The sequence below is a fragment of the Homo sapiens genome, chromosome 14 (assembly GCF_000001405.40).
Source record: "Homo sapiens chromosome 14, GRCh38.p14 Primary Assembly".
NCBI classification, from domain to species: Eukaryota; Metazoa; Chordata; class Mammalia; order Primates; family Hominidae; genus Homo; species Homo sapiens.
The window spans coordinates 69,019,942-69,047,044 of NC_000014.9; the positions used below are offsets into that span (position 1 = coordinate 69,019,942).

General features: G+C 45.4%; 1 pseudogene, besides 2 other annotated features; it reads right to left on the reverse strand.

The window, feature by feature from the left end:
• RPS29P1 (ribosomal protein S29 pseudogene 1) lies at positions 3,120-3,404 on the reverse strand (annotated as a pseudogene).
• Positions 17,456-18,152: an enhancer, noted in NCBI's record as "OCT4-NANOG-H3K27ac-H3K4me1 hESC enhancer chr14:69504114-69504810 (GRCh37/hg19 assembly coordinates)". NCBI's record gives its function as "activates a minimal SCP1, AML or CMV promoter by ChIP-STARR-seq in naive H9 embryonic stem cells {active_cell/tissue: H9 hESC(naive)}" and the evidence as "EXISTENCE:reporter gene assay evidence [ECO:0000049][PMID:30033119]".
• Positions 18,153-18,850: an enhancer, noted in NCBI's record as "OCT4-NANOG-H3K27ac-H3K4me1 hESC enhancer chr14:69504811-69505508 (GRCh37/hg19 assembly coordinates)". NCBI's record gives its function as "activates a minimal SCP1, AML or CMV promoter by ChIP-STARR-seq in naive H9 embryonic stem cells {active_cell/tissue: H9 hESC(naive)}" and the evidence as "EXISTENCE:reporter gene assay evidence [ECO:0000049][PMID:30033119]".

Sequence of the window (27,103 nt, forward strand, 5' to 3'; positions counted from 1 at the left end):
ACCAAGTCTTGTTCGGTCGCCCAGGCTGGAGGGCAGTGGTGCAATCTAGGCTCACTACAAGCTCTGCCTCCCGGGTTCACGCCATTTTCCTGCCTCAGCCTCCCAAGTAGCTGGGACTACAGGCGCCCGCCACCACGCCCGGCTAATTTTTTTTTTTTTTTTAATTTTGTTTAGTAGAGATGGGGTTTCACCGTGTTAGCCAGGATGGTCTCGATCTCCTGACCTCGTGATCCACCCACCTCAGCCTCCCAAAGTGCTAGGATTACAGGCATGAGCCACCATGCCAGGCCTATTTTTTATGTTTTTTGAGACAGAGTTTTGCTTTTGTTGCCCAGGCTGGAGTGCAATGGTGTGATCTCAGCTCACTGCAACCTCTGCCTCCTGGGTTCAAGCAATTCTCCTGCCTCAGCCTCCCAAGCAGCTGGGATTACAGGCGCATACCACCATGCTTGGCTAATTTTTTTATTTTTATTTTTAGTAGAGACAGGGTTTCACCATGTTGGTCGGGCTGGTCTCAAACCCCTGACCTCAAGGGATCCACCCACCCCGGCCTCCCAAAGTGGTGGGATTACTACAAGTGTGAGCCACTGTGCCTGGCCAGACCCATGGAATTTAATGTAACAGAGTATGGAAAATTTATTGACATAGGTGCAGATTTCGTATGGCAACTGACTCTAAAAAACTGCCACTTACTGACTTTTGGTGTAGGGCCAAAGAGTATCTATAATAATTTGAGAAAACTACTAAAATACTCTTCCCAACTGTACATTTGCATGGGGTTGTATTTTCTTCATATACTTCAATTAAAAGTACATATCTCAACAGATTGAATGTAGAACAAATGTGAGAATGTAGAACAAATGTGAGAAGCTATCTCCTATTAAAGAAATTTGCAAAAATGTAAAGGAATATTCTTCTTGGTAAATATTTTTGTTTGGGAAAATAGAAATAACTATTTATTTATTTGTGGAGACAGAGTCTCGCTCTGTTGCCCAGGCTGGAGTGCAGTGGCGCAATTTCATCTCACTGCAACCTCTGCCTTCTGGGTGCAAGCAATACTCCTGCCTCAGCCTCCTGAGTAGCTAGGACTACAGGCGCCCGCCACCACGCCCAGCTAATTTTTTGTATTATTTTTTTTTGTTAGTAGAGACGGGGTTTCACCATGTTGCCCAGGCTGATCTCAAACTCCTGAGCTCAGGCAATCCGCCTGCCTCGGCCTCCCAAAGTGCTAGGATTACAGGCGTGAGCCACCACGCCTGGCTAAATAACACCTTAAAAATTAAAAATAGGCCAGGTGTGGTGGCTCATGCCTGTAATCCTAGCACTTTGGGAGGCTGATGTGGGAGGATTGCTTGAGGCCAGGCGTTTAAAACCAGCCTGGACAGCATAGTGAAACCCCATCTCTACAAAAAGAAAAGAAACAAATTAAAAATAACTATGTTGTTGGGCGTGGTGGCTCACACCTGTAATCCTAGCACTTTGGGAGGCTGAGGCGGGTGGATCACTTGAGCTCAGGAGTTCAATACCTGCCTTGGCAACATGGTGAAACCCTGTCTCTATGAAAAATACAAAAATTAGCCAGGTGTGATGGTGTGTGCCTGTAGTCCCAGCTACTTGGGAGGCTGAGGTGGGAGGATCACATTAGCCCGGGAAGCAGAGGTTACAGTGAGCCGAAATCATGCCTCTGCACTCCAACCTGATCCTACAGAGTAGACCCTGTCTCAAACAAACAAACAAACAGTTATGTCAACATGTAATGGGTTTCCTATTGTGATTTTTAAACAAATAAATAAATATGTTTTAATTTCTCAGTTATGTTTCTAATATAGTAAATATATGGATAATACATGGATATAACCGGCATAAACAAAAACTCTTTGTGGTCCTTAATTGTTCAGAGAATAAAGGGGTCCTAAGAGGTGGAAGTTTAAGAACTGTTTCCTGGGGGGTAAACGTTATTAACCAAAATCTGTGGATTAGAAAACTGAGGTTTAGAGAGGTTTAATGCTTGTGCAGGTCACATAGCCAGTGGGTAGGGAAGTCACAATCCAAGCCTTGCTCACTCTACCACAGGAGGCCACCTTGCAACAGGTCAGCAAGCAAGGGAAAGCCCTCCTGAAGCACAGAGAGATCTAAGTAGGAGATGCTGGAGGCCCTGAAGAGGCAAAGAGCACATCTGGGGTGGGGTGGGGGATCTGCACAGGGAAAGGAACCAGGGAAAGCCTCTCAGAACAGGTGACACCCACGCTGGGATTGGAAAGACAAGTAGGATTTTGACGGTTCAGAAATCATGAGAGACTCCACAAATCAGTATGCTTTATCTCAACCACATCCAGACCTGGGACCAATGAGGACACTCTGATTGACTCTGTTTTGTTTTGTTTTGAGACAGAGTTTCGCTCTTGTCACCCAGGATGGAGTGCAGTGGTGTGATCTCGGCTCACCGCAACCTCCGCTTTCTGCGTTCAAATTATTCTCCTGCCTCAGTCTCCCAAGTAGCTGGAATTACAGGCATGCACCACCATGCCCGGCTAATTTTTTGTATTTTTACAAAAAACCCTTCAAAAAACAAAAATTGATCATTTCAGTTTATTCTGGTGTGGGGGACTGATGACTTATGATACAGGGATGGGGAGATAATTATCTTTACTGTGTATCCTTTTGTACCTTTTGGATTTTATATGTGCACACGGATTAACTATTTACACAAGCATATTAAAGGATGTTTATAAATGAGGTCAAAACCCTGTCTCAAGTAGAGACAGGGTTTCACCATGTTGGCCAGGCTGGTCTCAAACTCCTGACCTCATGTCATCTGCCCGCCTCGGCCTCCCAAAGTGCTGGAATTACAGGTGCAAGGCACTGCGCCCGGCCCACCCTGAATGACTCTAGTAACATAAAAGTGTGACGTGCTCCAGCCAGTCTGAAAGTTCCAGGCTCCTGTCCCTTGCTTGCGTAGGCTATCCTTCCATTAGTATGGGCTCTACAATTCACTAATTTAATTTGAACTTTATAAAAGCCTTGGATGGGAGGCTGAGCGAGTGTCATTGTTCTTATTCTACAGAAGAGAAATTTTGGAGGGAAAGTTGTTTTTTGTTTGTTTGTTTGTTTTTTGTTTTTGTTTTTTTAATATACAAAGAGCTAGCATGGTTTCTTTCACTGGGTGGATGTTTTGGATAATCTATTCAAGCCAGATCACATAGCCTGGCTTAATGAAACCTATATCCTTTGCAGACTGACAGAAACACTGGCAGCACACATTGAGGCTGTATTTCCAAATCAGGCCAGTCCAGTTTGAGCCAACACAAGAGTGAGAACTCTGACCCAATTTTCGAGGCTGGCCCCAGTAGAGCTGCTGGCGTCCCATCTTGAGGTGCACTTTCAGGAGTGCAACGAGGCAAAAGGAAAGAGCTCTGGAAGATAAAATGGAGACTCCAAAAGGTTAAGTAAGAAACTGATCATTGCAGGCTGGGTGCAGCAGCTCACGCCTGTAATCCCAGCACTTTAGGAGGCCGAGGTGGGTGGATCACGAGGTCAGGAGTTGGAGACCAGCCTGGCCAACATGGTGAAATCCCATCTCTACTAAAAATACAAAAACTAGCCGGGCATGGTAGTGGGTGCCTGTAATCCCAGCTACCTGGGAGGCTGAAGCAGGAGTATCGCTTGAACCCAGGAGGAGGAGGTTGGGGTGAGCGGAGATCGCACCATTGCACTCCAGCCTGGGCGACGAGAGCGAAACTCTGTCTCGAAAAAAAAAGAAAAAGAAACTGATCTTTTCAGTTAATTCTGGTGTGGGGACTGATGACTTATGATACAGGGATGGGAAGATAATTATTTTTACTGTGTATCCTTTTGTACCTTTTGGATTTTATATGTGCGCAGGGATTAACTGTTTACACAAACATATTAAATGATGTTTGTAAATGAGGTCAAGGTATTTTCCCATGTGGTAGAATTGGGGTTCCAGCTCCAATCCTTGGGTTCCAGAACCACATCCTAACTGTAATGCTTTCCAGCCTCCTAGAATATGCCATTTTCCAGTTTTAAAAGCTGTGAAGCCTAGATGTCAATGTAAAACATTTTTATGATTATTAATAATGCCACTAGATAGAGGGCCTTTCAAGAGGCCATGATTTGGGCCTGTTAGGAGCTGCTTTTATCTAATTAATGGTGGTACATCAGGCCAGATCAAAGCAGAGGGGACAGCATCACAGGACACTGGAGAGGACAGCTCCTTTCTACCCCAGCTCCTTTTCAGCCTGGGGTGAGGTGAGGGATCTGCACAGGGAAAGGAACCAAGGAGAACCTCTCAGAACAGGTGACACCCACGCTGGGATTGGAGAGACAGGTATGATTTTGACTTTTCAGAAATCATGAGAGACTCCACAAATCAGTATGCTTTATCTCAACCACATCCAGACCTCGGACAAATGAGGACACCCTGATTGACTCTGGTTACTTAAAGGTGTGACGTGCTTGATTCAGGCAAATGTAGCCAGCCCACAGAGACAGCAGGTGAGAAATGATTGACAGCTGAAACCCATGGATGGGGAGTTTTACCAGCTGAATTGCCAGGTCCTAAATCCAAATTCCCTTCTGTCTTATTAACTACTACCTAGGCCCGACTGTTTTTTGTTTTTTTTTTTTTTTGAGACAGAGTCTTGATCTGTCGCCCAGGCTGGAGTGCAGTGGCACGATCTCAGGGCTCACTGCAACCTCTGCCTCCTGGGTTCAAGAGATTCTCCTGTCTCAGCCTCCCGAGTAGCTGGGATTACAGGCGCATGGCACCACACCCAGCTAATTTTTGTATTTTTTGTAGAGAAGGAGTTTTGCCATGTTGGCCAGGCTGGTCTCGAACTCCTGACCTCAGGTGATCCACCTGCCTCGGCCTCCCAAAGTGCTGGGATTACAGGCGTGAGCCAATGCGCCTGGCCAGGTTCATGCTTTCTGCTCCTGGAAATGCAGCCAACCCTGACAGAGTCCATGCATTAGGCATCTTCTGGGCAGTGCACTTGCTCTTGCACTGGATGTGCATCTATGGCTGGGATGATTGCAACAGCCCCCCAGCTGGTCTCCCTATGCCAGACCTTTGCGCACCCTCCTTCTTTACTCTCCACATAACGGCCAGGGGATTCTGCTAAAATGTCAGACAGAGCCTGTCATTCCTTTATACAAAGTGCTCCAGTGGCCCCAGCTCACTCAGAGCAAAACCCCAAGTCCTTCCCACAGCCTGTAAGACCCTGAACAATCCAGGTCTTGACTCCTCTTATCTCATCTCCCACCACTCTTTTTTCCTTCAACTACAGCCCTGTGGGCCTCTTTCTTCCTTGAACAACATCAGTTGCACCCTTGCTTCAAGACCTTTGCATTTACTGTTCTCTCCAGCTGGAACCCTCTTATCCAGAGACCTGTGTGCTTCGCTCCCTCACCTCCCTCCATCTTGACTCAAGGATCGCCTTCTCACTGAGGCCTTCTATTCATATACTATTTGAAAATTGAACCCTGTTTTAGTCTGTTCAGGCTGCTACAACAAAATACCATAGACTGCTTGGCTTATTCACAACAGACACCTGTTTCTCACCATTCTAGGGACTGGGAAGCCCAGGATTAAGGTGCTGGCAGATTTGGTGTCTGGGGAGGGTCCACTTCCTGGTTCCTAGGTGGCCATCTCCTTACTATGACTATGTCCTCACATGGTAGGAGGAGCAAGAAAGCTCTCTGGGACCTCTTTTTTGAGGATGCTAATCCTGTTCATGATGCTCTGTTCTCATGACCTAATCACCTCTTGAAGTATCCACCTCCTAATATTATCACCTTGGGGGGTAGGATTTCAACAGAGGAATTTTAGGGGAACGCAGGCATTCAGTATACAGCATTCCCCAACATTCTCAGTCTCCTTATTTGCTTTATTTTTAATTCAATTTTATTTTTAAACAGGGTCTCATCTCGCTCTGTTGCCCAGGCTGGAAACGTAGTGGTGTGATCTTGGCTCACTGCAACCTCCGCCTCCTGGGCTTAAGTGATGCTCCCACCTCAGCCTCCCAAGTAGCTGGGACTACAGGCATGCACCACCATGCCTGGCTAATTTTTGTATTTTTTGTAGAGACAGGGTTGTGCCATCTTGCTGGTCTAAAACTCATGGGCTGAAACTCCTGGGCTTAAATTCTGGGGCTCAAATGATCTACCTGCCTTGGCCTCCCAAAGTGCTGGGATACAGGTGTGAGCCACTGTGCCTGGCCTGCTTTATTTTTTTTTTTAACCTAGCACATAACACCATGTAATATACCATACATTTCACTTATGTCTCATGTACTCTTTGCCTTCCTCTACTAGCATATAAACTCTATGAAGTTGGAAACTTTTGTCTGTTTAGTTCTTTGTTGGGCCCTAGCTACCTAGAACAGTGGCTAGTACATAGTGTATGATCAATAAGTATGTGTTGAATTAATGCACCAACTCATTCATCTTTATGACAACCTGGAAAGATAGGTCCCATCACTTCCAACAACCCATGGTTAAGTTTGTGTCGTTGTTGAATTTGGCCAAACAATTTGATTTACCAATTTCACCCCTTCCTTACTGATCACCTCAAGAAGGGGTGAAAATATGTTTCAAATGCAAATATGTTACTTGGACATGTCATCATCAACATATCATCAGTCATCTGTACCTTGGCAAGTATTCACTTATGAAATGTAATCCTCCTATTGGAACTTCTTTATACTTCTCCCATATGGATGAGCTAACAGCTGTGGGAAGCCACAAAAAATGAGCAAGATGTGGGCCCTGCCTGCGAGCATCTTACAGTCTTTGCAAATTAGACAAGTCCAGCTTGCCCCCAGCTGGGATACATACCTAGTCTCTCTGAGCCCAAAGCCTATGCACTTTACTAGTACCCTGCTGTCTCCATGATAGTGTGGAGAATGGGATATTGCCAAAGATCAAGGATGGTAGCACAGCTCCTGAAGTATTTTGATCTTGTGTCTCAGAAGATAAGAACACCCATCTTGAATTTTCTTCTTCCCTGGGTTTGGGCTGGTTAGTCCCTCCAGATATGTTCATTTTTTCCCCCAAAAAACATTCCCAGAGTTTCGTTTCTATTAATTTTTAGAGTTAATGAAGGTGTGTTTTATTGTATTATATCTCTTATGTTGTATGAAGTTAACATATGTGGAAAAATAGAATAAATGCACATCTACCTGGCAAAAATAGTAAGTGAGGTAGGTATAGAACATTCTTAAATACAATAAGGTTGGGTATTCTCCCTGTGGTAAAATTAATAGGAAGTTTTGCTTCTGTCTATGAAGGATCAACAGTTATGGGAATTGCCCTTCAACCATAAATTGGACAAAATATATGAAATGCCTATTTCCAGACATTGGATAACAGGCAGCCTGTGATCCCTGGGAGCAGGGGAGCAGAGGAGGTGAGCTGTGTGATTGCCTCTGCCTGCTTCCTAGAGGCAGTTTCCAGACTGCCTCACCGATGGGGGAGTCTGGGGAAAGCTTAGTCTTACTGAGTTAAGGAGAGCTTCAGGCAGCTAAAATTGCAGGGCAGTGTTCAAGAGACAGGGAGCTACACAGAGGAAGAGTCCCATAGACCCACACAGGGTCCCCTAGAGCCTTTGAGTGAACAACAATCTGCACACACTTAGGACAAAACCCATGAAGTGGAGCAAAAGCAATTTCTGGGGGAAAAAAAAAGTATTACTGGGTAGCTGTAAACAGAACAATTCCTAGAGCCTATACAAAGCCTGGAATGGGTAAACATCCCTCTAACCAGAGTGGAGAAGCTGTGTCAAACACACAGGCATTCAATGGGGACTCCAGAAGAGCTGTGTCTTTGAAGTGGAGCTAAATTAGCCCTGGGATAAAGGTTACTCTAGTCCATCTCTAAACAAGCTCTATTTATTTATTATTTATTTATTTGAGGCAGGGTCTTGTTCTGTTACCCAGGCTAGAGTGTAGTGGTGTAAACTTAGCTCACTGCAGCCTTGAACTCCTGGGCTCGAGAGATCCTCCCATCTCAGCCTCTGGAGTAGCTGGGACTATAGGCATGAGCCATCACACCTAGCTAATTAAAAAAATATTTTTGACTGGGCATGGTGGCTCACGCCTGTAATCCCAGCACTTTGGGAGGCCAAGGTGGGTGGATTATGAGGTCAGGAGATCGAGACCATCCTGGCTAACATGGTGAAACCCCGTCTCTACTAAAAATACAAAAAAAATTAGCTGGGTGCGGTGGTGGGTGCCTGTAGTCCCAGCTACTTGGGAGGCTGAGGCAGGAGAATGGCATGAACCCAGGAGGTGGAGCTTGCAGTGAGCCGAGATCGCGCCACTGCACTCCAGCCTGGGTGACAGAGCGAGACTCTGTCTCAAAAAAAATAAAAAATAAATAAATAAAATAAAAAATGTAAAAAAATAAAAAAATAAAAATGAAACTGAAGGCCAGGTGCAGTGACTCACACCTGTAACCCCAGCACTTTGGGAGGCGGAGGGGGGGCAGATCAATTGAGTTCAGGAGTTCGAGACCAGCCTGGCCAACATGGTGAAACCCCGTGTCTACCAAAAAATACAAAAATTATCTGGGCATGGTGGGTGCACACCTGTAGTCCCAGCTACTCTGGAGGCTGAGGTGGGAGAATCGCTTGAACCTGGGAAGCAGAGGTTGCACTGAGCCGAGATCGCACCACTGTACTCCAGCCTGGGTGACAGAGTGAGACCCTGTCTCAAAAATAAATAAAATAAAGAAAATCGAAAATATAAATGTTGGCAAGGATGTGGAGAAATTGGAACCTTCATTCATTGCTAATGGGAATGTAAAATAGTCCAACCACGTCGGAAAACAGTTTGGCAGTTTCTCAAATCTTAAACAGAATTACCATATGACCTAGCTATTCCACTCCTGGGTATGTACCCAAGAGACTTGAAAACATATATTTACATGGAAACTTGTACATGAATGTTCATAGCAATATTATTTATAATAGCCAAAAAATAGAAACAACCTGAGTTTTCATCAACTGATGACCAAATAAACAACATGTGGTATATCCACACAAGGAAAGGTTAGTCAGCAATAAAGGGAATGAAGTACTGACACATGGCACACATGGATGAACCTTGAAAATATTATGCCAAGTGAAAGAAACAGACACAAAAGGCCACATCTTTTGTTATTTCATTTATTTGAAAATGTCCAGAATAGGCTAATCTATACAGACAGAGGTACATCAGTGGTTAACAGGGGAGGGGAGAAAAGGGAAATTGAGGGTTATGAAATTCCTTTTTTGGTTGATAAAAATGTTCTGGGGCCAGGCACAGTGGCTCATGTCTATAATCACAACACTTTGGGAGGCCGAGGCGGGTGGATCACCTGAGGTCAGGAGTTCAAGGCCAACCTGACCAACATGGTGAAACCCCATCTCTACTAAAAATACAAAAATTAAGGCCGGGTGCAGTGGCTCACACCTGTAATCCCAGCACTTTGGGAGGCTGAGGCAGGTGGATCACGAGGTCAGGAGTTCGAGACCAGCCTGACCAAAATGGTGAAACCCTGTCTCTACTAAAAATACAAAAATTAGCCGGGCATGGTTGTGCGTGCCTGTAATCCCAGCTACTCAGGAGGCTGGGGCAGGAGAATTGCTTGAACCCGGGAGGTAGAGGTTGCAGTGAGCCAAGATCACACCATTGCACTCCAGCCTGGGTGACAGAGCGAGACTCTGTCTCAAAAAACAAAAAACAAAACAAAACAAAAATTAGCCAGGTGTGGTGGTGTGTGCCTGTAGTCCCAGCTACTCGGGAGGCTGAGGCAGGAGAATCACATGAACCAGGGAGGTGGAGATCACACCACTGCACTCCAGCCTGGGTGACAGAGCAAGACTCCATCTCAAAAAAAAAAAAATGTTCTGGAATAAGTGATGATGATTGCACAATATTGTGAGTATAGGAAAAAAAAAACCACTGACTTGTAAACGTTAAAACGGTTAAAATGGTGACTTTTGTTTTACATTGAATTTATCTCAATAAAAATAAGATTTTTAAGTTAATCAGATTTTTAAAAATCTTCCCATAGAGAAAACACCAGGTCCTGATGGCTTCAATGGTAAATTCTACCTAACATTTAAGAAGAAATAAGATCAATTCTACACAAACTTCTTTAGAAGATGAGAGAAAAAGGGACACTTTTCAGCTTTTTTTTTTAGGCTAGCACTACCCTGACACCCAAATCAGAAAAAGGATTTGATTATAAGATTACAAGAAAAGAAATGAATCCTTAATGAGCATAGACACATAGATGCTTAACAAAATTTTTGCAAATCAAATCTAGCAATAGCTAGAAAGGGAAATGAGGCATGACCAAATCAGGTTTATCCTAAGAATAAAAGGTTTGTTTACCATTAGAAAATCAGTCAATGTAATTCACCATACTAACACAATTTTTTAAAAATTATGAATATCTCATTAGAGATATAAAAAAATTTTTGGCAAAATTTAAAAGCCTTTCAGCAAACTAGAAATAGAAGGAAACTTTCTTAACTTGGTGAAGGATGCCTATGAAAAATCTTCAGTTAACATAATACCTAGTGGCGAGAGACTGAATACTTTACCCCAAAGACAGGGAAAAGGGCAGAAATATCTGTCACTTTTTTTCAACACTTTTTTTCCCTAGACAGTGCAGTAAGACAAGTAGTACTAATAAAAGGCATCCAGATTGGAAAGAAAACCATCCTTATTAAAGACAACATGGGCCGGGCACGGTGGCTCATGCCTGTAATCCCAGAACTTTGGGAGGCCGAGGTTGGCAGATCGTTTGAGGTCAGGAGTTCGAGACCAGCCTGGCCAACATGGTGAAACCCCGTCTCTACTAAACATACAAAATTTAGCCAGGCGTGGTGGTGGGCTCCTGTAATCCCAGCTACTTGGGGAGGCTGTAGTGGGAGAATCGCTTGAACCTGGGAGCAGGAGGTTGCAGTGAGCAGAGATCATGCCACTGCACTCTGCCACTGCACTCTGCACTCTGCATGCCATCTGCCTGGGCAACAGAGTGAGACTCCATCTCAATTTAAAAAAAAAATTGCTATGAAATTTTCAGGCCAGGCATGGTGGCTCACACCTGTAATCCCAGCACTCTGAGAGGCCAAAGCAGGTGGATCCCTTGAGCCCAGGAGTTCAAGATTAGCCTGGATAACATGTGAAACCTCATCTCTACAAAAAATACAAGGATTTATATGCAGAATATATAAAGAACTTTTACATCACAAAAACATGAAGGCAACCTACTTATTTTAAATAGGTAAAGGCTTCAGGCATCGCCAAGCAGATGGACAGCAAAGAAGCATATGACAAGATGTTCAGCATTATTGGTCATTAGGGAGGCAGAAGTTATAGCCACAACGAGATACCACTGTCCACCCACTAGAATGGCTAAAATTAAAAATACTGACAATTATAGAGACTATCCTGGGTTTGGAAAGAAAAAATAATAATATAATAAAAATACTGACATTACTTAAGTGTTGTCGAGGATATAAAGCTGGTAGGCATGGTAAGTGGTACAACCCCTTTGGAAAACAATCTGGCGGTTTCTTTTTTTTTTTTTTTTGACTAAGTCTCGCTCTGTCGCCCAGGCTGGAGAGCAGTGGCGAGATCTCGGCTCACTGCAAGCTCCACAAGGTTCACGCCTTTCTCCTGCCTCAGCCTCCCGAGTAGCTGGGACTACAGGCGCCCACCACCACGCCTGGCTAATTTTTGTATTTTCAGTAGAGACGGGGTTTCACCGTGTTAGCCAGGATGGTCTCCATCTCCTGACCTTGTGAGCCACCTGTCTCGGCCTCCCAAAGTGCTGGGATTACAGGTGTGAGCCACCGCTCCCGGCCAGTGGTTTCTTACAAAGTTAGACAAACACTTATATGATTCAATAATTCCACTCAGGTATTTGCCTAAGAGAAATGAAAACTTATATCCACACAAAAACGTGTACACAAATTTTAGCTTTATTCATAATAGCCCATCAGCTCAACTGCCCGTCAACAGATGAACTGATAAATACATCTGGTATATCCATACAAGAGAGTACTATTCAGCAATAAAAGGGAATGAACACAACAGCATGGATGAATCTGAAAAATATGCTGAGAGAAAGAACACAGGTACAAAAGCATGCATACTACATGATTCCAATGATTTGAAACTATAGAAAAAACAAGTCTGATCTAGAAGGAAGGAAAGTGATCAGTGGTTGCTTGGACAGAAGGAGATTAACTGAGATGGGGCACAAGGGAACATTTTTGGGGTATGGAAATGTTCTGTATTTAGATTGCATTGGTGATTACACAGGTGTATAAATGTATAAAAACTCATTACACATTTAAAGTTGGTATAATCAATTTGATTAAAATTCTATTGAATCCCCCCAAATGTAGTATCTTATTATTATACAGAATGTGACAATGTAGAAAGGTAGAAGAAAGAAAAAAAGAAGCATCTTATGGTACATCCCAAATGCATTGAGTATTATAAATTATTCTGTAGAAATTTAAATTACAACCACTATGCTTTCATGTACTTCTCTTGGCATTATTATTATTATTATTTGTGACAGAGTCTTGCTCCATCACCCAGGCTGGAGTGCAGTGGCGGGAACATGGCTCACTGCAGCCTCGACCTCCTGGGCTCAAGAAATCCTCCTGCCACAGCCCCCCAAGTAGCTGAGACTATAGGTGCACACCACCACACTCAGCTAATTTTTTTTATTATTTATTTATTTATTTGGTTTTTTTGTAGAAACAGGGGTCTCACTTTGTTGCCCAAGCTGGTCTTGAACTCCTGGGCTCAAGTGAGCCTTCTGCTTCAGCCTCCCAAAGTGATGAGATTACAGGTGTGAACCACCGTGCGAAGCCTGGCAAATCTTCGATAATGCTATATGGTTCATTATCATCAGCAGTACATGAAAGACATTGTAGATATTAGTAAATATCTACCCCTGCGAATGTATACAATGCACACATGATGTGAAAGGAAAGTAACATTTATTATGTACCACAGTATATGCCAAAACCTTCTCATGTATTATTTCTCTTTCATGATAAGAAATTTAAGTATTGGCCAGGCGCGGTGGCTCACGCCTGTAATCCCAGCACTTTGGGAGACTGAGGTGGGGGCAGATCACGAGGTCAGGAGTTCGAGACCAGCCTGGTCAATATGGGGAAACCCTGACTCTACTAAAAAAAATACAAAAATTCGCTGGGTGTGGTGGTGCACACCTGTAGTCCCAGCTACTCAGGAGGCTGAGGCAGGAGAATCTCTTGAACCCCAGAGGCAGAGGTTGCAGTGAGCCGAGATTGTGCCACTGCACTCCAGCCTGGGCGACAGAGTAAGACTTCATCCCAAAAAAAAAAAAAAAAAAAAGAAAGAAAGAAAGAAAGAAAGAAATTTAAGTATTGCAGAGGTTAAGGCACTGTGAGAAAGGCAGGTAAGAGAGCAGTTTCTAGAATCATAATTCCTGTTTCAAATTCCAGCTCTCTCATTGGCTGCATGACTTTGGGCATGTCACTTAAACCCCTGGAGCCTCAGTTTCTTCATCTGTGTAATTGAACAAAGCCAGTATCTACACAGAGATTTGCTGAAATTAATGAGTGCACGTTCATAAAATTCGTAGCGCTGAACTAAGTGCACAATAAACAACAACAACAACAAAATAGTTGTAATTAAACTGCTGGAGAGGATAGGCCAAAGCCTTCCAGAGGTTCCCATCTGACTTCAAGTTCCCGTCTTGAAAAGGGACCTAGGATGCCGTAGGGTCTGTGCCCAGAAAGGACATCCATAACCTGCATAGGTTAGCAGTGCCTTTGGGATTGAGGATCTGCCATCATAACAGCAAGGTTTCCTTATTTTTATTTATTTATTTATTTATTGAGATGGAGTCTCGCTCTGTCACCCAGGCTGGAGTGCAGTGGCATGCGATCTCGGCTCACTGCAACCTCCGCCTCCTGGTTCAAGCGATTCTCCTGCCTCAGCCTCCAAACTAGCTAGGACTACAGCACACACCAGAATGCCCAGCTAATTTTTTGTATTTTTAGTAGAGATGGGATTTCACCATGTTGGCCGGAATGATCTTGATCGCTTGACCTCGTGATCTGCCCACCTCAACCTCCCAAAGTGCTGGGGTTACAGGTGTGAGCCACCACGCCTGGCCTGGCACTTGATAGTTTATATCCATTATCTTGTGAAGAAGGTATCATTACAACATCCATTTTACAGACAAATAAACTGGGGAGGTTACACAGCTAGAGAAGAAGGACGAAATCCCAGGGCGTTGGACTCCAGTTCCACATGACTGAGCCTTCCTGACAGAGGTAAGTTTGTCCTGCCCCATCACACTTGCTCTTCTCCGGAGGGCCTGGTGGTCAGCAACCACCTGACCGAGAGCAGGAGGGGTGGGGACAGGCCCTGGTCTCACTGGGTTGTGTCTTCATCAAGCCAGCTGTCTGCACAACTGGTCTGCCTGGGGTCAACTGGTGTAGAGACCAGGGAAAGTCAGAGCCAAGTCCCCCAGCAGATTACATCCATATTGAAAAGTTAAAGAGTAGCCAAAAGAAATTTGTGATGATAGGAGTCAGAAGAGTGGTTTCCTGGCAGGCTGGGGGTGAAGGGCATGGTGGTTAGGACAGGAAAGGGTACAGAGAGTGGGGTGGTAGGAGTGCCCCCACATCTTGATTTGGGGTATGGTATGGTTACACGGGTGTACGAATATGTAAAAATTCATTGACATTTTCGCTGGAATGCATCACTGAAGATTAGTGCATTTTGTATATAAGTTATGACTCAATTTTTTTCATTATGCAATGTCCATGTAATATAACTCCATTTTTAGTTTTCACAATGCAAAAAAAATTTTTAACATTGTTACCAAAAAAAGAAAAAAAGACCAGCCCTTCCAAAAAAAGCATTGCCTTATCCCTTAACCCTGAAATAAGAAATTTACCTAATACTGAAGTTGAGAATTTAAATTTGAAAGGAGGGTAACAGCCCCGTGGGTCTGGAAGCCTCCAGGACCCGTGAGTCTCTAGCCCTCTCTCCTGGCCCATGGGCTACAAAGCCTCAAGAACCATGCCTTTTGAGGGAGCTCTGGATCCTGAAAGCTGTGGGGAACCTTTCCTGGTGACGTTAGCTTCCTCTGACATAGTTTAATTGTTGTCAGTCCATGGAATCCGGATGGAGGGTTTTGGCATTTCATTCTTTTCAGTTAGGGCTGAAATAGCATTTTCATTCTCCACTCTCATTTTCAAGGTCTGGTAATTTTCTGAGACCATCACCATTTGGGCTGAGATGTTCTCATTCTAGATGCAAATAGGATGAGGAACTTTTCATCAGCAGGCCTGAGAGCAGAATGGGTCTCTCTCTAGACCCATTTTTAACCTAAATGCTCAATAAATACCAGCCTGTGGATAGCTATAAACCTGTGTGCACCAAACAAATAGCTGCTGATTATAGATGGCAAAAACTATTAGAAATGCAAGGAGAAGTTTGTAAAAATTAAAGTGAGATGTTTTAGTATACCTCTTCCGTAATTAGCATGAACTAGTCATCAAAAAGAATTAGGCCGGGTGCAGTGGCTCACACTTATAATCCCAGCACTTTGGCAGGCCCCGAAGTGGGAGAGGGTGTGGGCTGTCTGTCTGGGTGAGTAGGGCATGGGAGTCATTCATCACTTTCCTGACCTTAGCTGGGGGTCCAGCAGCCTCCCTCACAGCTACTGGGACAGAGCATGTGTCACTGTGGGGCACTTTACACATTTACTCCTTTCTTTATTTGTTGCCTGTTTGAATCTGTGCCATGAGTGCATGGGAGCTCCATGTTCTATAGGGTAGATTATAGGATCCCCACTTGAGGAGCATCACTTGAGGCCAGGAGTTTGAGACCACCCTGAGCTACATGGTGAGATCCAGTCTTTTCAAAAATAAATTTGAATTACCTGGGAGTGGTGGTATGCACCTGTATTCCCAGCTTCTCAGGAGGCTGAGGTGGGAGGATCACTTGAGCCCAGGAGTTTGAAGCTACAGTGAGCTATGATCATGCCACCGCACTCCAGCCTGGGTGACAGAGTGAGACCTTATCTTTTAAAAAAAATTATAACAGGTTAAATAATACAATTAAAAGACTCAATTGAACACATACACATATATCATTCTTTATCTATTCAATAGAATGCATTTTTCCCGTCTGATCATGAGGCATTTTTAACAAAATCAATCCTGTTGGATATTTGTTTCAAAATAATAGAAAGGGTATTAATGAAAAAAGGTTGACCATGAGTTGACAATCATGGAAGCTAGGTGATAAGGACATTAAACTTCATCTAATATTCTCTCCAGTTTTTTTTTTCTTAGAGCTCAATTTCTAGAGAATTCTCTCTACTTTTGTGCATATTTGAATGTTTTCAATATAAAATGCTTTAAAGTGATCAATCATATACTTAGGTACAAATAAAACTTTTGTAAAAACTTTAAAATAGAAGTTTTTTTAATTTTTAATTTTCTTTCTTTCTTTCTTTCTTTCTTTTTTTAAGAGATGGGGTCTTGCCATGTTGCCTGGGCTGGTCTCAAATTCCTGGGCTCAAGTAATACTCCCACCTTAACCTCCCAAAGTCCTGGGGTTACAGGTGAGAGCCACCACACCTGGCCTCAAAAATAGAGATTTAAGTGGGCCATATTCTCTGACCCTAATTCAATAAAATCAGGCACAAAAATGATTCCCCAAATTTTAATTGTATAAAAATTAAGAAACACATTTAAATAACCCCTGGAGAGAAAATCAAAATTAAAATTATCTATAAAACATTAACAAATAATCTTTTCATTTATTCATTTATTCATTATATACCGAGTGCCCACTGTGTGCCTGGGACTGCTCTAGGCACAGGGACAGAGCAGTGAACAAGAGATCCAAGGCCCTGCCCCCGGAGCTCACATTCTTATGACACAGATAGACAAATGAATGAGCGAACATACCACGCAGTGGTACGTGCTCCACAGACAAAGCAGTTGGGAGGGGAAAGTGGAGTGGGGGCTGTGTGTGGGGCTGGCTAACCTAGATCAGGTGGTCAGGGAAGCCCTGCTGGGAAAGGTGACATTTGGGCAGATTTGAATGAGGTGGGGCAGCGAGCCCAGGAAAGAATGGCCTGGCGTGCTCTCAGAGGGGGAGATAGTACCTTGTTTCCAAACCAGTCCCCAAGCCTGGCCAGCTCCTGTGCTCACAAGAATGCTGGCAGCAGGAGCCAGGGGCTACAAAAAACAGCCTGAGAGAAGGGGCTTCCCACGGCAGAGGGTCATGCAGGCTGTAGCTGTGGGTACCCAGACTGATTCTGGCAGTAGGCTGGCCAGCCGCCTAAGAGAGGGTGTAGGCTGTCTATCTGGGTGAGTAGGGCGTGGGAGTCACTCATCACTTTCCTGACCTTAACTGTGGGTCCAGCAGCCTCCCTCACAGCTACTGGGGCAGAGCATGTGTCACTATGGGGCACTTTACACATTTACTCCTTTGTTTGTTACCTGTTTGAATCTGTGTCATCAGGTCATGGGAGCTCCATGTTCTATAGGGTAGATTATACAATCCCCATTTTCCGATGAGGAAGCTCCAGCTCAGAGTTTAGGTAACTCGTCCAAGGTCCTAGAGCCAATGGGGGCAGAGCTTCCTTCCTGCCCTGGTGCATGCCCTCCAGGATGCCTGGCAGGCTGGGCTTTAGAATGGGGTCTACAGAGGCCAGTTTTCATGGCAATGGGGCGGGATGGTGGAGGTGAGCTCCAGTGGTTGGAGTGGCTATTGGCCCCTGTTAGACACCAGGAATCCTTGGGTGGGAGAGGAGATTTGGGTCAGATCCTACTTCACACTCACACTTCATACTTCACACAGGGCAGTAATCTTCCCCTGGAAACAAGGCTGCTCTTGAGGATCACACAAGAACTGGTGAAAGTCCTCCTGCACAAGGGCAAGTCCATTCCAATAGAGGGAGAATTGCATGACAAAAGGGAGGTAGCCAAGTGTTGACAGTCCCAGGCCTCGCTGGCAGCACCTCTGGGCTTCCAAGGGTGACATCATACCTAATGAGTCATCAGAGCCACAGCACCCAGCACTGTCTGACACATAGTAGGTGCTTAATCACTGGTTGCTGTTATGATAATGAAGCCTTAACGTCCTTATGCAGAAATTGAATTGGAAGCTGAATTTCCTTTTGGGCTGAGACCAGGAGAGCTCTCCAGGCCCAGGGCTTGGTAACCAGATGAAATTGGTTCCTAATGGGGGCTCTGTGGAAGCTCAGCAAGTGGCTCTATCAAATTAGCAGGCTCGATGGACACGAGGGAGCAGAACTCTTCCTGAGCCTGGACCCTGCCATCCCTCGTCCCTCTGAAATCAGATTATGGAGATGGCAGGGCCAGGGAGGAAACTGAGCTAACACAATTACCAGCCCCGGCCGGTCCATCTCAGCCTGGGAATAGGGCAGGGAAGAGGAGAGGGCAGAGGGGAAGCCAGAGCTTCCCTCAGGAAATTACAAATCCAAGAAACTGAACAGGATAAGCCTTTCCCTGCCTTGCTGTGGGGCTCCATCCTGGGATTAGTGAGCTAATCTCCCTGCTGTTCTTACAGAGCATCAATTCCTCCTCCCTTGGAGATCAGGGTGGTCATTCCTTTTATAGCTATGACGTCATCAGCCCTGGCTTGAACCTCCCTAGTGAGGGGTGTTTGTTAACCACCGAGACCTTCTATTCCATGACTGATTCAAAAGCAACTGACTGGACTGTAGCCAAGACTGCCACTATCTGGTCTTGGATCTGCCGTCATCTGGATGTTGAACCTTGGGAGGTCTTCAGCCCATTTCCCCATCTGTAAATGAGATTTATGACCCCATGGTAGGCATGTGCTCGTGTTCTCAGCGTCCATCCACCCCTTTCCCACTGTGAAGCAAGCTGCAATCTTCCAGTTGGCTTCTGATTTTAAAGCCCATCAGCCCCACACCACGCCTCTTGCCCTCTTGGCCTCAGGAGTTTGGGCATTGCCCTGGCTGTGGTGGTCCAGGCAGAGCCACCCTTCAGACTTTCCTTTCTGCAGGAAGATTTGCTTGCCCTGTCCCCAGATGAGAATGAGGCAGTGTGTTGCCCTGGCTGATGATGTTGGCTGCCTTAACTCCTCGGAGGAAGCCAGCCTGAGACAAGGCAGATACACATGGAGGGCAGAGCCAAGAGAACTGCAGAGAAAGAGACAGAACTCTGATACATTTTAAGGCCACTCTATCATGGAATGTTTCAGTTATGTTTACAGCAAAAAATCATCATTCTTCCATGTACTTTGAGCTGCATTTTCTGACACTTGCCATCACCCATCTTCTAATAGGCAGAGACTTCTTTTAGGGTTCAGAGTGCTGGGATTCCTGATCAGAGATTGATTTCTTTGTCATTTCTGCTCAGTGACTACAGTCTTAGCCTGTGTGACTCACCACTGGATGCACCCACTGTGTTTCCACAGGAAGGGAGACTAGGAATGTGTTTGAAGAGTTGCCTCATTTCCCACCTATGTCTGTAAGCTAAGAGGAGTAGGAATAGGCTATACAGCAGAAGCCTATCCACAGAGAATGGTGCAAAAGAAGAGAAGAGCAAGTTCCAACAACTCAGTTCAGGGAGCCATACACTCCCTTTCCAGCTGCTGCCAGTTTACGCTGGGTTTCTGTCTCTTGTACCCAAGATAGCTGGCTCAGAAAATCATTTTATTCATCTTCGTTTTCCCAGCACCCAACACTGACTGGCACATAGTAGAATTCCAGTTAAGATGAAGACTTTACTTCCCATTATCTGGACCCTTCTACCAATTTCCCCAAACTCAATATTACATTGGTGTTTTTAGTTGTCTGTTTGGAGGAGCAGATTAGGTTTTGGAAAGGTAGCTTCAGCAAATACCTACCAGGTGTCATCTATGAGTTAGGTACACTGCTAGGTGAGTTCATGTATATTACTTCATTTACTATCCCGAACTGCTCCAGTTAATTTTATGCCCACTTTCCAGAGAGAGGAACTGAGGCTCAGAGAAGTTAGGTGGAATTTTAAAGTCACTCAGCTAGCCAGGTTCAGTGGTATATGCCTATAGTCCCAAAAACTTGGGAGGCTGGGGTAGGAGGATCACTTTAGTCCAGGAGTTCAAAGCTATAGTAAGCCATGATCACATCGGTTAATAGCCACTGCACTCCAGCCTGGGCAACATAGCAAGACTCTGTCTCAAAAATAAAGTCACAGCTGGTACTGGCAAAATCAGAAAGGAAACAAATACCTTCTTATACTCACACTGCTGATAACAAACTTATGTTCAGTTAACAGAATACCAAAGGCCCTGAATGTCCCTTCCAACTTCCATTGTGAGAAAAGCCTCCAACACAGTCTGGCCATGAGTGTCTTTAGGGAGAGGAGGAAGTGGTCTGGTAGCTGGTAGCTATGGAGTTAGCCAGTCAGTCCACCCCTGGAGTCAGCTTTGAGTCCATTTCAGGGAGCCCTTGGCCAGTGCTGGTGTTCAAGCCTGAAGGACCAGAGGCAAGTGTGCATCATTTGAGGGCAATGGCCATGGGCAGGGTTAAGGTAGGTGAAACCCAGTTCCCATATGAAACCAGAAGCACAAAGAGGAATTACCCAAGGGCAACTCACGTGAGCATCCTATCTCATTCTTCTCGGTTTTTCTTTTTAGACATCTTAATTTATTTTTTTAAATAGAGAAGGGATCTCACTATGTTGCTCAGGTTGGTCTCAAACTCAAGCCCAAGAGGCATGATTCTCCCGCCTTAGCCTCCTGAGTGATGGGGGTAACAGGCACACACCACTGCAGCCAACTTTAAGTATCTTTACTGAAATATAATTTATAATTTATATACCATAAAATTTACTCATCTAAAGTGTACAATTCAATGGTTTTTAATTTATTTACTAAGTAGTTGTTACAATGATGCTACAATCTAAATTGAAAACATTTTCATCACCCCAAAAGAGAACCCCCTATATTAGTAGTCACTCCCAAGTTCCCCCTGAACTCCTCCTCTTACCCTTGGCAAAGCTAGTCTACTTTCTGTCTCTATAGATTTGCCTATTCTGGACATTTCATATGAATGGAATCATATGTGTCCTTTTGTGACTGGCTTCTTTGTCTTGGCATAATGTTTTCTTTTTCTTTTCTTTTTTTTTTTTGAGACAGAGTCTTGCTCTGTTGCCAGGCTGGAGTGCGGTGGCATGATCTCCGCTCACTGCAACCTCCGCCTCCTGGGTTCAAGCGATTCTCCTGTCTCAGCCTTCCAAGTAGCTGGGATTACAGGTGCCCACCACCATGCCTGGCTAACTTTTTTGTATTTTTAGTAGAGACAGGGTTTCACCATGTTGATCACGTTGTTTCGAACTCCTGACCTCAAGTGATCCTTGTGGCTCAGCCTCCCAAAGTGCTAGGATTACAGACATGAGCCACCGTGGCTGGCCAGCATAATGTTTTCAAATGCTCATGTGAGCATTCATCCATATTGTAGCATCAATCAGTACTTCATTCCTTTTTATGGCAAAAAATAACATCCCCTTGTATAGACAGACCACGTTTTGCTTATCCCTTCATCAGTTGATGGACACAGTTGGGTTGTTTCCACTTTCTGGGTATTACGAATAATTATGCTCCGAACAGAGTGTACAAGGTTGTGGGTGGTCACCTCTTCTCTTGATTTATTTATGTATAGTAAATAACTCCCCACTCCCCACCCTCATTTTCCTCCCCACATAGGTCACAACTCTAGTGTGTGTAGTGTATATCCTTCATTTTATGGCATTTTATGAAAAATGTGTATTCCTCTTTTGCCTGCATGCATTTGTACATTTCACATACATGCTATTGTGTTTTAGCTATTATTCTGTCTTAATCTCTTCACTCAACACCGTGTTTTTAGGATCCACCCATGTTGCCAGGAGTACTCCTGATCCATTACTTCCAGCTGCCGTGTGGCCCCCGGGGGGTGGGCTGCGAGCACGTGTGCACGTCCACTCCCACAGGGATGAATGCCTCATTTCCCCCAGCTCCCTGTCACCACACACAAACCCACAATGGCCATCTCGGCATGTGTCCCCTTCAGGACCTGGGGGAGAATGTCTAGAATTTATGTTCAGGAGTGGTTTGCTGGGTCATAGAAACATGCATACTTACTTTGAGTTGTGCTGGATCATGAAAAATCTTTCCCCTACCAGCAGGCAACAAGATTAGGGACACATGGATTCATGCATTTTACCAAGCAGAAATAATAGCTGAAATGCACTCACTATCCAGGTTGGCAAAGCTTCAGTACATCAGTGCCGAGGTATACCGTGCCTACTGAAAGCTAGAGGTAGACTCCTCTTTTTATTTGTCTCATGTCACTTTGCTGTTTCTAGAGCACTGATTCCCTTTAAACATTCTGGTCTCATTAAGGGAGGTTGTTCTTTATCCCTTATGGATAAAGATTATTAAGGGAAACTACTTCCCAAGAACTTTCCTTTGTCTTGGGGTGCAAAGTCCTTTGACCTGTAATGAACATTTCTGTGTTTTATGACTGGGGAGGAGATGCTGGGAAATAACTGGTTCCTAAAACACTTCCCAGCACCCAGAATCACCAAGGAGACGAAAGGAAAGGGAGAATTCAAATGATTAGCTAGGAACTTTTACCTCTGACTTCTGGTTGTTTCCTAGAGAAAATAAAATCCTCACGAGCAGAAGAGCCTGAAACATTTCTTTCTTGTGGAAACTTCCTATATTTGGGGACAATCAATCATTCCAGCAAACCTTCAGGTTATCACATCACTGTGAGTCTACTGACGAGAAGTCGTTTCTTTTTAAAGGACTCACTCAGAGTTTACCCTAGATCCCTACACCCAAGGGTGCCTCTTTTTACACAACAGATGGGCATCATCAGAAGTCTTTTGCAAAGAACCCATTTGTATGTCATGTGAATCCCTTTGTCCTCGTTATGGTTTCCTAAGTTTGGATTTCTCATAATTGGCTTTTCTTAAAGTGAAAGCCATACTCCTGCTCAACAGGCTAGAGGTGAGAGTGAATCGGGCAGTGTTGGGACAGACTGGGCAGGTCACTGTGAGCGCCTGGCTGGCAGCTGGGAGGGGAAGCAGGGCTGGGAGCGCCTCGGGCTCCCTCCAGCTGCTGCCACTCCGTTCCCCTCACCAGCTTCTGGTTTTTGAATCCTAGCTCTGTGGAGCAGCTCCTGTGGCTGGCTTTATTTGGAAGTATTTAGGGCAAAAAAGGAACCCTGAATTTCACAACACTGAGCTTCATTTCTATTTATGTTCTCATAAACGCAGAGAGGGAGGAAGAGATGACATTTTTGGAGAAGTCACCAGTACTTTCTACCTCTATTTGTCCCCGACATTTTGCTTAAGGACAGTATCATGGCAGTGGAGCCAAAGTCAACAGGTCATTGGACCTGAAAAAAGACAGGATTATGATGACAATAACAGCTGCTCTTTCTACCCAGTTCCTACTGGGCATTGTGCTAGGTGCTTTGTGTATGTTTTCACTAATCCACAGGAGAGCATTGCAAGGTAAGCCTCGTCGCAACTTTGTGGATGAAGAAATTCAAGGTCAGAAGAAGAAAGTGACTTGGCCCATGCCTCAAAGCATCACACTGTGATTAAACATCACATTCTTCCTACTACCTCATGCTCTCTGGGACCCCCACTTTCCACCCCACCGAGGCCCTCGTCTTTCTCTGACTTCCTACTTCTGCTCTTCTAAGACAACTAAGCTGTGACTCAGAGCATGAGGGGAAGAGGTTTCTTGGCACCAGGAAGGGACTCAGGGCTCAGGGAGACAGTTTAGAGCCAGAATAAGCTCATTAGGTCACAAGAAAGCAGGAATGACGGGAAGACACTTCTTATTCTTGCCCTCTGATCCCATTGTCCCTGGCAGAGAGTGGCACCCTCACCCCAGCAATGCTTCCTCAGGGGAGTAAGTTTGAAGCAGTCTGGGAAACTGGGCAGCTGAACCCCTCCTGACCCCTAAAGTCACAGTGGGGGCTGAGAAGAAGAAGAAAGACCTTGTAACTGTGGGCTTGGCAAGGGTCCAGGGATGTGCGCTGGGCTCAGGTTTTCCCTCCACCCCAACTTTGCAACAACCTGGGCTCCTGCGCCTGCTGTTTGGGGCTAGTTGGCCTGAGGGGAGGAGGGGAAAGAGGGCGTTTGGGCAGGGGAGGATGCAAGCCTGCCAGGAGAGCCCGGAGCGTCCTCAGCATGGGCAGCAGGGAGTGAATGAAGGGAAGGAGAACTGCAGGGCTCAAGAAACTCCCTTTCCTGGACTGGCTGCTCCAATGGATGGAGCTTGCAGGATAGTGGCACACAGGTGAGGAGGCACTGTTCCTGTGGGCCACAGTGTGGCCTCTATGGACTGCAGACACACACAGAGCAGTTTTGCCCTTAGTTACCCATAGATCATCTTAGAGTTTCCTGTTATTCTAAACATTGAAGGTGGGAACGCTGGAGCTTGAGGAAAGTGGAGACCTGGCACCAGGAATTCCAGGAATCCAAGAGGCTGTCACCTGCCATGAGGTCAGGTGCTCATGGTAAGGGCCTGGCCAAGAGATCTTCCTTCTGCCTGTCAAGGACTTGTCCCTGACCCTGTAGGCACCCACGGCTGAAGTGCAGAGTCCTTGATCCATTACTGGATTAGCAATCACAAGAGTCAATTCCAATTAGAACAGAGAGTCTAAGTTATCTGGTTGGACACAAATGAGTTAATCCTCTTGAATGAAGACCTAGCTTGGCCTCTTAGACCTGCTGTCCTGGCAATTCCAGTTTATCCAGTAAGTTTGACTTCTTTTCCAAGGAGACCCTAGAGGCACGTTCACCATTGGTCCTCCACCTTTTCAGGGTCCCCAGCCTTCCTCCTGGCTCCCCTTCTCCCTAGTGCACCAGCATTAGAATCAGTCCAGCCAACTCTTTCCTTCCTTCCAAGTGAAATCCAAGAACTCACCTTTTCCTGAATTCTTTAAGCCACCCATATTGACCCAAGGGATGAAGCAGCAGAAACAGTGTAGTGTGTAGCAGACAGAGGGTCCACACTCCTACCCCTCAGTGATCCCTCAAGCATGTTCGCTGGTCTTAGCAGGGAGTGAGGTTGCCTACTGGACCCCAAGTCAGGAGAGGAGAGGGAGGGTCAGTAGATCAAATGTAACTGCTGACTCAGCCAGCCTCATGAGAAACATGCCACACACCCTGGTTCAGTGGGGCCCCAAGCTTGGGACATCTCCACGGGTCTCTCCAAAGAAGGACAAGCTGGGGGAGTTGCAGGATTTGGACACCAGCCTGAGCAGAAGGACAAATTCATCTTTATGCCAACTCTCGCCCCCGCAGTCAGCCAGACCTGGAATGAGACAGTCTGGGCCAGCTGTTCCACCTATTGGCGCTGACCAGCCTTCCCCACTGAGGCTAAACTTGGCAGCTTCGGCCCATAGAATTCCAACCTAGGCAGCTGCTTGAGAAACAAAGTGCTTGAGTTTGCTTTGAGCAGGGATGTTTAAAACTAGGATAAAGATAACAGGATATGAGCTATAAGCTGCTTATCACAGCTAGTTTAGGAAAAAGACCTTACCAGGACCCAACAGGCAAGAAGGGAACAGCAATTTGAGCCAGTCTTCTTGGGTCTGCAACTGGGCATATTCCATTTAAAACTTGTCCTTTCCTCTTCTGGCCCTTGGGTGCTTACAACTTGAAAGGTCTTCTCCCATTCTAAAGCCTCTGCATACCTAAAACCTAATGATTCAGCTCCCACCCTCTGGTCCCTTTTGTCTTTTCTTCCAGTACCCCAACATGTTTATTGCTTTTCTCTAAAAGTCATCCAAAGGATTCATTTACATCTCCAGGGGGCTGAAACACCAGGACAGCATTCAGCAACCTGGGAATGGTTAGAGTTGCTAAGCGAGGTGCAGACAAGTCACGTTAGTCTGAGTGATGATTTTCTAGGGGTGAGGGTGATCCAAGCACAGCTGACTCTGTTTTTTCCTTTGCCAAAGGCTCCACCCTCACCCTGCCTCCTCACAGACCATATTCAGTTCCTTGCTACTGCTGCATGTTGTCGTAAGAGTCCCCGCTGGAGTCATGCTGGGTGAGGGTGGGGAGGTCAAGGTAAGCACTTCCCCAACCAAGAATCACATCTTAGGGAAGGAAGCAGCAAGATGTGCGGAGAGCATAGCCTCAAAGGCCAAGCCCAGCCTCTCACTGGCCTTGCCTCTCAACCTCTAAAATGAGGGAGCTGAACTGGGTGATGCAGCTAACCACTCCCTCTCCTTCAGGATAAGCTCAGAAATGCTTATTTCGGCCTGGACTCCTTCTCTGCCCTCCCCATGTCCCCACCCTTGCTCTGGCTTCTCTTCTGGCAGATGTGTCTTATTTGAAAAGCTTTTTTCCCTAAGTATAATTCCATTGCCTCTTTTCCACCAGCAATTCAAAACTTTCCTCTCATTCTGCTGCCTCTCCAAGTGCCACGCATGTGCTCCTGGGATCCAGGTTCCATCTAGATCTGTCCTGAGGGTTTAGTGGGCCAGGATTGCACTCTGACCCTTCTTCCCCTTGGCCTAGTGAGACTTCTGTTTTTGTTTTACGGTTTGGCTTCTTCTTGAATCAGATGTTACCGAATGCATACGTGTGCATGCACACCCACACACCAATCCTGCATGGAAAACTCTGGTCAAAACTTTTCTTTGGCAGAGACGCAAAGCATTTCCATGGCTCGCCACTTTCCTGATTCTCTTAGCGCTGGCCCAATGCCAGATAGGAAACTTTTAGCTCTGAAGGCTGGAGAGAAGTTTGCCGTCCCAGCCCCTGAGGCCTGTCATCTTCAGCACCACCATATTAAGACTATAGTTTAATAAAATCTGCCACTACTCACTCCAACCCCTGCAGACTTGCAGAAAGTGGAGAGTTGGCACCAAATTCCAGGAATCAATGAGGCTGTCAGGAGGTCAGGCACTCAAGGTAAGGGTCGTCATAAGCAAGGAGCTGAGAGGCCTCTGTCAGCCAGGCCTGGCTTCAGGTGGAGCCTCTAGACAGTTGGCTCCCCAAGTC